General features: G+C 35.6%; 1 annotated feature.

Annotated features, from left to right (window-relative positions):
• Window positions 1762-1939: a silencer, noted in NCBI's record as "fragment chr3:79914289-79914466 (GRCh37/hg19 assembly coordinates)". NCBI's record gives its function as "represses an EF-1alpha promoter that drives an FKBP-Casp9 reporter gene in an ReSE screen in K562 erythroleukemia cells {active_cell/tissue: K562}" and the evidence as "EXISTENCE:reporter gene assay evidence [ECO:0000049][PMID:32094911]".

The raw sequence follows: 11536 nt of genomic DNA on the forward strand, positions 1-11536 counted from the left end.
CGTGCCTTACTTCCCCTTCCACCATGATTGTAAGTTTCCTGAGACCTCCTAAGCCATGTGGAACTATAAGCCAATTAAACCTCTTTTCTTTATAAATTGCCTAGTCTTGGGTAGTTCTTTATAGTAGTTTGAAAACAGACTAGTGCACTCTTGATTCTGTTTATCAGGAAAAGCCTCACAATATACATCTCTTTTTCTTCACGAGTATTATTTCATTATAAAAGTTTTACTCCCACCTTTTCTCAGTGCTTGTTTCCCAGAGAACTAAACTTGTGACAAAAATGATCTTAATAATGTATACAGTATTGGTGATTTTATCCCTATTGCCTAAGAGAATGCCTAGAAGATGTTTGTTACTCAATAAATCTAGTTGAATGATTTAATACTATATTCTATATATAATTTCTGAGAAAAGTGAGTGAAATTAGTCATTATCCAATTCTTCCTTGTTCTTTATGGTAAATGCTTGAAACTGGATATTAGTTGAAGCAAAGATACTGGTAATTTTTTTCTTTAAATTTAAATAGCTTTTAGTGAATATTAAGAAAAATAAGAATAAACCACTAAAATTATATAACAGCAACATTTTTATTGTTATTGTTGTTGCATGTATTTTTTTCCCCAAAACACTTCTAGAACTTTGACAATTAAACTGAGACTCATACAGCGTTGATGTTTGTGGCCACTTTTATGAGGCAACACCAAGGACACTCTCATACTCTAAGGGTCTCAAAATCTCTCTTATGTCTCTATGTCTTAAACCTCCTAAACCTAATGCTGTTAGTGCCTTCAACTCTGATGGTAGTAGTTTTATTAGTCAGAGTTTTCCAGAAAAACAGAACACACAGGGAGAGATGGAGACAGACAGATTTATAGACATAGATTTATTGTAGATAATTGGCTGTCATGATTGTGGGAGCAGGCAAGTATGTAAATTGTAAGGCAAACTGGCAAGCTGGAAATTAAGATAAGAATTGTGATTGCAGTTTTGAGTCTGAAGTCTGTGCAAAAGCAGGCTGGAAACTCAGGCAGAGTGTCTATTTTGAACTCTTGAGGAGAATTCCCTCTTTGAAATTTTCATTCTTTGCTCTTACAGCCCTCGATTTATTGGATGAGGTCCACTCACACTATGAAAGGCAATGTGCTTTATTCAAAGTCTATGGATTTAAATATTAATTCTATCTAAAATATACCTTCACAGCAACTTGTACACTGGTGTTTGACCAAACAACTGGGCACCATAGCCTAGACAAGTTGACAGCCATATCATACTGGTATTTTATCTAAATGACCAAATTGAAGCACATAAACTCTTTCTGAAAAAAAAAAAAAAAAAGAAACTGTGGAGTTCTTCTATCATCTCATACTTGCAGACATAAGCTTTCCAAATCATCTAGGAAATATGACAACAGGGTTTTATGAACAAATGAGTTTCAATTGAAGTGATTAGAATGAAGGAGCAGAATGGGATGCTGGGCTTGGGAGGGATGGTCCTTGACTCTCAGGTCTCCACTTATGAAAAGAGAAGTCAAGTGATCTCTAGAGGTTAAGAAAACTGGTAATATACTCTGCTTTTTATGTTTCTGAATAACTGTCTTATTCAGAATATCTGATTAAAGTGATCTGGGGCTGGGCGTGGTGGCTCACTCCTATAATCCCTGCACTTTGGGAGGTCAAGGAGGGTGGATCACCTGAGGTCAAGAGTTTGAGATCAGCCTGGCCAACATAATGAAACCCCATCTCTACTAAAAATACAAAAAATTAGCCGGGTGTGGTGGCACGTGCCTGTAATCCCAGCTACTCAGGAGACTGAGGCAGAAGAATCGCTTGAACCCGGGAGGCAGAGGTTGCAGTGAGCCAAGATTGCACCACTGCACTCCAGCTTGGGCAACAAGAGCGAAACTCTATCTCAAACTCCAAAAAAAAAAGCAAAATTAAAAAAAAAAATAAAATAAAAGATAAAGTGATCTGAGGGTTCACTGCAGAGGCAGACATAGGAAATAAAAGAAATCCTATGTTGATGAGAAATAAGGAGAGAGGTCATTGTCTGTTCTTTCTTTATCCTCTTTCGTTGGAACAAGACATTTCACAATTACTATTAAAATATTTACATATTAGAGAAATATGGAACTAGAATGTGTTTTAAGCATATTTAGCATAGAGTCTCTCATTTTAGATGATTGAAATTTGGTATTTAGGGAGAGGAAACCAATAGTAAAAGTTGTTAATTTTACCCCTTCTCATATTGTCAGGCTTAATTTCATTTTAAAAGGAGAGTTTATTTTAAATAAAATGATTGCCCAGAGTCAAATGAAGATCATGCTTAAAATTGCAGTGAATTTTATGTAATCAGTGATTTAAAGGACAGTTTTCTAATACTATGCTGCATCGGTGAATGCAGTAATAGAAATGGAGGATATGTGAGACTGTCCACATTTGCTTTGGGATCAGGACCTTTGAAGAGGAGAGAGATCCTTGTTAAGTTCACTTACCCTCCAAATCCACTCTCCAGCAAGCTTGACTAGGCAAGAAAGAAACACCATGTCGTCTTATCAAAAGCTTTGATGTCTCTATCTCAAATAAATGTTTCATTTAATAAAACCATGTTGCTGAACTAAAAGTTTATTTTTACTGTGATCCTCCATTTATCCTCATTTTTAAAAACCTGTTCACAATAGTCTTTCTTTGATTTTATAGAACTTGCATTAAAGATCTGATCTACAATCTCAGCGATAAAGTTCTATAAAATCAAAGAAAGACTATTGACATAGTTCCAGATGGGGAGAGTGATGAAAGATTTTCCTTACAGTTTTATAGTTTGAAAACCAACAAGAGATGGTCATTTTTTGTATTAATTTGTGTAAAATTTGTGTTGTAATGTATTGTTTATTTTTCTGATGGCTTTAAACTCAGATTAATTTAATGCATATTTACTTTGTTGATCCCTTTGTTTGAAAAAGCCTTACTTCTTATGTGTTTGTGCATTTGCAATGGGGTATTGAAGGGATTAGTAATCTTGTGATTTCTGTAATTGAACATTTCCGCATATTGCTTTTTGGCATGCAAGATTTGTTTTATGTACTGATCAATTCTATCTTAGTATAATAATTACTATCCAGTTCATATTATGTTTGGAGAAGCTAATGGGTGGCCATTCTATTTGATACGTGGATATTTGAAACTCACCCTAGTAGAATTCCTGCTAGTCCCAAGGGTATGCCTACAGGTATTACTTGAGCCTTCATTATATAGAATAAAAATCTTGATAAAAAACAAAGGTTCTCAACTAACCAACAGAGTAGAGGGTCCAGAAACATGCCTGCACACATAAGATTAATTGATGATGGAGAAGGTGACACTGCAGCATAGTGGGGAAAGGGTAATCATTGGAATAAATGGTGCAGGGTTAATTTCATTTCTACATGAAAAATAATAAATGCTGACCCCAACTTTACAACATGTCAGAAAAGAAAATTAATCCAGACAGATTGTATATCTAAATGTAAAAGATAATCTTTTGACAAAAGATAACTGTTTACCCTCACATTTCCAGCAGTTACCAGAACCTAGCTATCCCTCTCTCCCACCCTACTCATTTTTAACCCTCACCCTTCCCTGCTCCTTCTTTCTCAGCTCATGAAATACTTTGCAAATAGATACCATTAGAGGAGAAGTTTCCCATTAAAGAAATAAACCTGCTTGCCTTCATGTCCAAATTCTTTGTTTTACTTTTATTAAAATACAAGCTCTATTTCTATTAAAAAACAAAACCTAAAACCAACTAACACAAATATGCCAGTTTTATTCTGAATCTTCTCTTTGTGCTTTCTTAATCTGCAAGAAAATAAGGCTCCTACTCATTTGGTTATTGTGAGTATTAAATCAATTACGTGTAAAGTACTTAAAATAGTGCCTGGCACTTGGTAAGCACTCAATATGTGTTAGTTACTGCTATACCCACACAAACAATATCTTAAGAAGGTTGACAATACTTGTGGTCTCCACTTCCTCATCTCTTCAATATAAAAATCAAATAGGATTTTACCCATGGAGAAAAATAATTATAACTCCCTAAAATCTTCTATTGCACATGGAAAAAATCTTGGATCCTTTGCGGCTATGCCCTTTGAGGCCCTAGGTGATCTATCCCTTAATTGTGTCTTATACTTTGTCTTAAAACAGTTCCCATTTTGTTCACTACGGCCCAAGTATAATGGTTCCCCTAACATGGCAACGTCATTCCCACCTTTGTCATTTTTTTTAATCTGCCTTATTCACATAAATTGTCAAGAAAGTATGGATTGTTTTTCTCCACCAAAATATTCCTGACACCCATAATAATATCTGGCACATATTGGGTATTCTCAAGTTATGTGTAAACTAAAAGAATTACTTCTCCATTATGCTAATGGAGCTGCTTCACATTTCCTAGTCCAATACACACATCTTTTTATATATGTTACTTTTTTCCAATTAGCCTACAATTTACTCCTTAAAATTTTCCTTTTTTTTTTGGCTTTGGTGACTCTTTTCTGTTTATTATTATTTTTTCTTCTTCCACCAGTCCCGCTGTGTTTTCTCCATGTAGGTATTCTTTGCAAGAAATATCTTGGATATCTCTGGACATCTCAATTTTGAATACCCTAAAATTTGTTCTTCTTTATTTATTCTGTCCTTTCTCTCCAGGTAACACATTCAGCCCTATGACTAATGATTCCTAAGTTTCTATCAATGGTCTGAACTTACCCTTAAGCTCCAGACTTGTATGACTAGTCAGCTATTTACCATCTCTACATGTCTACAGTGAAATGTATATATGCCTTTTTTCCTCAAACCTGTTTTAGCCCACGCTCCACACATCAGTAAATAGTGCTGTTAGCCATCCAGTCGCTCAAGGCAAACACATAAGTGTTCTCTATTATTCCTTCTCTCTCCTCCACATCACAAGTCATCTTACCTCAAAAATCAGTCTTAGACTCTCCTACTCTCTCTGGGTTCAATGAATCATAATCATTGTTGATCTCTACAATTCTATAATAAACAACTACTACTACTACTATCACTCCCACCACCACCCTTACTACTAGCAGTTAGTTATCTAAACCTGCTTTCTCAATAGTTTTCATGCCTATACTTTTGTTCTTCTCTAATATGTTCCCCACAAATTAAAGATTTTGCCCATTTCTACTGAAATAACTAAATACTCCTTGAATAAATTTTCATTAATCTTAGAATGATAAAACATCCAAAGTCTAAAGGCCCTACTAAGATGAAAGGGCCCTTCAAGATCGGCCTTCAGTCTCCCAGCACTTGCTGTGCTTCAGCTGTGCTGGTCTCCTCTTTCTATACTTTAAATTCCCTCAATCTTGTTAGATTAGACTTCGTACTAATTTCTCTGGAGGCTGTTTTCTTCCATGCTGCAGGATTGACTCCTTTAACTTTCTTCAATTTACTGTTTATTTGCTACTTCCTCAGAAAATTGGTTCTTCCTGAAACATATTAAGTGAACTACACTTTTCCCATTTATTCTATAGTATGGACGATATTTTCGTTGTTGACCTTATGAAAGATTTTAAAATTTTATATTATTACTCAATTATCCAGTGGAATGTGAATCCGAGATTCAAGGATCTTGATTGTTTTGCTCAGTAGTTAATCATTACAGTCCGGTGCAGTGCAATGCTTGCTGTTTCAGTTGTAGTTAATGTTGAGTAAATATTTTCAATAATTGATTATATCATTCCCAAGGGATGTCAGATATTGATAGAGTAACACCTTGCTACTCGAAGCACGGTCTAGATGGGCAGCAGTGGCATCACCTGGGAGCTAGTTAGATTTGCAGAGCCTGAATTTTAGAAACATCCTAGTTGGTTTATGCACATTAATGTTTAAGAAGCATGGATTAATATACATAGATTTTTTGTTTAAACATGTACTACCTGAGACTCCAAGAATATTTTCTCCAAGTATGTTTAATCATAAAATGCTCTTAGAAATGAAGAATATTAAGTAGTTCTTGAAAAGGGGCAAATGGACCAAATGAATATGCAGTAGGTAGGAGCCTTAGGTGGTAGGGCATATCCGTAGTCCCAGCACTCAGGGAGGCTCAGGCAGGAGTTGAGTCCTGCTTGAGTCCAAGAGTTCCAGGCTGCAGTGAGTTATGTTTGCACCAATGAACTCCAGCCTGGGAGACAGAATGAGACCCTCTCTCCCTGAACAAACCCAAACAAAACAAAACACAACAGAATAAGTAGGAAAAAATTGAGTGTTTTAAGAAAGGCTTGTTGGCAAGAGCTAGTGAACCATATGTAAAAGCAATCAAGACTAGAAAAAGAGTTCTATGTCAGCATGGTAGTTGCATAGGATCAGGCATGCAGATCAGGATAAATGAAAACCAATTTTAAGTGAAGCCAGCAATTGGAAATTTAAATGTCTTCTTCAGATCTAAAGAAAAGTTGCAATCACAGAGATACTCAAAATAGAGTATTTAATACCACATGCGGGAGAGTTTATAACATATTGCTGTGATTGCTGAGGAAGTGGAAGTTGGCTATAGCTTTATTCTAGATGTGATTCAATTTGTATATCCACCTAATTTATATATAGTGTACTAAGAAAAATGGTACTATGACACAGTGTTCTATTTCCTACCATCTTCCTAAAACACAAAATAACTGAACTTAAATTTCCTAAAACGTAAACACAAAATTGATACAAAAAGTTGGCCTTTGGATGGATTTTTCGGTGTGGACATTTTTATTAGCTGTTAGAAGCGACAAGACTCTAACCAACCCAACCAACATTTTTTACAAGAGCAGGAAAACCAGAAAGTGATGTGGCTGAGGATTTCACATGAGTGAGAAGCAGCAAAAAAAAAAAAAAAAAAGAAAAACAAAATTCCTAGCATATTTTGATGAATTTCTTAAAATACAGTTTGAATAAAAATAAAGAAAAATATTAAATACAATAAAGCTACCCAATGGATATATGACACCTTTTCCTGACAACCCCTTTTTATGAAAATGCACTTCCTGAAGAGACAGGCCACCTGGTATCACACAGAATTCCCACATGGACTTTGTTAAGTGGTGGCATAGGATCATAGGATCATAAAGAATTTTTTGCTGAAAGTTTTTTATAAAATGCTAAATTTGGTTCTCACAACTGAATAAAGGGAAATGTACACATTTTCAAATATTCAAAAATATTCAATAAATTAAGCTGTAAAGTTATGCAACCATACACATCCAAATTCTTCTGAAACCAAAATAAATATAACAAGGGAAAATATGCTTTTGAATTATTTCTGCAGGAATCCTGTCTCAATGTAAGATATAGATTGGAATAACCCTGATGGTGCTTAGCACGAACTCTAAATATTTTGTTAGGTTGCTAACTAGAGTGGGAAAAATATAAAAAATAAACTTGGAATTCTATCTCTTTGGACATATGTATTCTAATTAATATATAGACATGCGCCTCAGCTGTAGTAAGATTATCAACGTAATCTAAATAGTTTTTTTATAATTTCATTCTTTGCACAGGGTGTTTTCTCAGCTTAGAATAATGTCCTTAGAGCAATGGTTCCCATGGAAAGCTTGACCACCTGCAAAATCGACTAATGTGAACCCACTACAAAATAAATTTCTTATTATTTTATTTAATTACATCTCAGAAATTCACATTAGAATATAAGGTTACTGAGGTCGAGGACCACAACTAATTCATCTTTATACTCCCAAGTCTAGTAAAGTTATCAATGTTATCCTAACCCTCCAATGTTTCCTGAATGAATAAGTACAAGGAATACAGATCTTAAATTAATACTCGATTGTGATTGTTGGTTCAGGTTTTCCATGAGAGTTCAGTCCCAGAGCAGTAAGTTAAAATTCCCACTTGTATCAGGATACGCTAACGTGTGATGCAGTATTCAAATGCAAAAGTCTTGATGACTTAAAATAAAGAAGGTTTGTTTCTCAGTCATGCCTTATTTCTATCGTGGTTGGCAGAGGTCTCTGTTAATTGTGGTCAGTAAAGGGTCCAGGCTGATGGTGTGGTCAGTGTTTTAATAGTGCCCGTTATCATGCCAGAGAGAGAGAATGATTAGTTACAAATTAGCTTTAAAAGCTTCTCTCTACAGCTACTAACAGCACTTCACACATTTTGCTGGCCAAAACAAATTAAAAAGCCAAATTCAATTCCAAGAGTAGAGAATTCCAAAGGAAGGGAGGAATCCTACCATGTGCCTAAAAAAGAAAAGCTGGGAATATTTGGCTAATAGCAGTAATGATTATTCCAACAAAGTTTTTCAAAGGTTTATAGGATCAGAATATAGTAGTCTATCACCATCTCTCATATTTCCAAAAATGGTATGTTGTGGTGGTGCTAGGCGTGGGAAGGGTCAATATTTTGTGAGAAATGCTGAGTAATGATTTTAATGCTGGAGGAGTTTTAACCAGATAAAAATGTTGTTGCTAAGGTTATCATAGATAAAATGCACATTTGTGTAACATGAGAGCTAGCTTAAGATATGACAAATGCATCTCCCATGCTGCTTTGTGATGCTTTGCATATTTTGAGTTATAATTGAATCTTTTGAATCTAGGGTCATATTTATACCTACATATAGCATCTCACTTCAAGCCCAAGCCAAAGAAAGACCTACAGCAGCAACCTGTACATAATTGGTGGCAATCAGTAAATTTTGCTTGTTCTTACTGCTCATATAGAACTCATTCAGAGTTCACATACAACTCTTACTACATTTTATTAAAATCTTAAGCATAATATTAAACAAGTTTTAGTTGAAAATTCTTGTTCCTCTTATGTCCAGGTTTAGAACTATAAGATTACAGAATTAGATATCCCTGTGGCCTTACTTCAAAAGAATTGAAAAGTAAACATACAGGATATATACAAAAAAATGTATGTTTTCAGGTAACATTTGTACCAAGAAAGAGATCTTCAACGTAGATTTTTGGCATCATATCTAATAAAGACTATGAATTGTTAATAATAATTATTATTTTATTCATATCATTAGTAAGTATATCTTTATACTTATTTTATTTTGAAGTCAAACAATTATTTCTTTGAGTGGTTGTGATTTTAAAGGGCATGGGATACTGAAGTCTGAAGACATCTTTATTTAAAGTATACCCATGTTTTTAAATGCCTTGTTGAAGTGAGTTACATTCTGGAAAAGAATTCTCAGGGCATATGCAGGTCAAATCCCTCTTACGTGCACCATTGCAATAAAAAGTTTATCATAACAAAAAGTTCATGTAAGTGCTGGCTGGTAGCCTATGTTAACAGAGTCCTGCATATCTAGCAAAAATGAATTCCCCAGCACTGAGTAAGAGTTCCAGAAGATTTTATCTCCAAAAGTCATACTAATTTTTAATTGCCCAAAGATTTATTCTTTATTATGAGATTTTTGACTCTTTTATTTCATTGAGCAATTGTTCATTTTTTTTCTGTGAGATGTATTGGTGAACTACCTGATTCCCAGAATTTTTTCTTTCTTTCTGTAATATTTCATATTCTTGAGATCCAGGAGGTTCAGGGAAGGAAGTACATACTATCTGTGTCCTAAGGTAAAGATTCCATACATTGCTGAGATTTCAGAGACTACTGCTTTCTATAGTTGAATTATTGTATTACAATAAACAATATTTAGTGAATAGTGAGTATCAGGTATTTATTTTTTCAGAGATCAAAAATATTAATACTGTTGAGCTAGGGCCTACCCACCCGCCTGCATACACACATAATGTACTAAGTATAAAGAGGTAAGCTTCACTTCCCTAGTAGAATGGTGGTATAAAATAAAGGCCTCCCAACTCTTTCTTTCCTATTTGCATGGGGGATAAGGGTGGCAGAGGTTGTATACAACCATCTATGGCTTCTGGGAATTCGTACTATGTTGGGACACAGCAAAATATGTGGTCTTATACATAAGGTCTTGGTGATATTCTATGGAAAGTCAATGGGGACTTGAGGATAAATGAGTGTACTGCTAAAATGAGTGCACTGATAAAATTATCAGTTACCAGATTCATGACATGGAGATGTGAGGACAGGGGAAGGAGGTGGCAAAGAAATTTAGAAGGGACCTGATTGTTTGCCAGACTTAGAAGTTTGAATGCCCACAAATCACAAAGATGTCAGAGATCAGATTCAGTGAGAGTAAGGGAGTGGGGAAGTAGAAGGACAGGAGATGATGGTGTGAGAGGGACCTATAGAGAAAGGTTTTGGAAGTGAATGAATATTACATGGTAATAACGCAGCCATGCTAGTAAGCAGCTCAGGCATGGTGACTGCAGAGAACACTGGGACTGGGCAACTGAGAATCCAGTGGAATAAAAGGAATGTAAAAATTATGAAGCTATTTTTTTGAGCAAAATTTATGACTAACAGTAATTACAGTTACTACATGTTGGGAAGCAGATTAAAAGTGGAAAAATTTACACTAACAACAGGTAGAGTTTAGGTTGAATAATTCTTACCTCAATCATACTTAGCTTCCATGACAAATGCTCCTAGTTGCCTACTTGATATTTGTTTCCTCATCCTTCTTTTCTAAGAGAACTGTGATTTGTGTGCAAATGTGTGACAGTATTCCGGTGTTCCCAGTTGTATGTACTCGCAGTGAGGCCTCTCCTAAGAGTTAAGGGTTCTCATCTGATATAGTCATCACCAGTGAGATTTCAGTGGAAATAGCCAGTTGTGTATTCCCGGTAACGATTTTTGTTTTTGTTTAAGAGAACTGACTTAGCTGGCTGCTAAGTGTGTGCTCCCCCAAAATTAATATGTTAAAATCCTATCCCCCTAATGTGATGGTATTAGGCAGTAGGGCGTTTGGTAGAAGAATATACCACAAGGGGTCCACACTTATGAATGAAATTAGTGCCCTATGAAAGAGACTTGGAGTTTGCCCCTTCCATCATGGGAGGATGCAATGAGAAGACGGCTGCCTATCAAGAATGGGAGCCTTACCAGACTAATGTGGCCATGCTTTGACGTCAGACTTTCCAGCCTCCAGAATTATGAAAAATAAATTCCTGGTATATTGTATTCTGGTAAAGCAGCCTGAACACACCAAGGCACTGACACTGCCAGTCTTTTTCTTTTGTCTTTTGTCCTTGATTCTTTTAACTGCATGGAGCAAGAATGCAATCTCTAGACATGAAGTTGCCAACTTTTGAACATCAAAATGAAGGCCTTAAATTAAAGATATCTGAGCAGAGATAGGTAAAGAGCCTGGACTTGGATGGTTTGGAGAAGTCACTTTATTATCATCCCTGGATTTTCTCACTATGTGATAAAATTTATCCCTATGCGATTAAGCCCCTATAGACAGGTTTCTGCTATAGGCAGCCAAACATGATCCTTAATTGGAAAAGCATCCAGTTGCAATGATGTTGCTATGGAACAGTTATGTCTTAAGGAATGAAACCCTGACTCTTCAGATGACTGACGTGACCTAATGGTGAACTCACCGATTTAAAAACAGGGCAGTAGTTGGCTGCTATCC

The sequence above is a fragment of the Homo sapiens genome, chromosome 3 (assembly GCF_000001405.40).
Source record: "Homo sapiens chromosome 3, GRCh38.p14 Primary Assembly".
NCBI classification, from domain to species: Eukaryota; Metazoa; Chordata; class Mammalia; order Primates; family Hominidae; genus Homo; species Homo sapiens.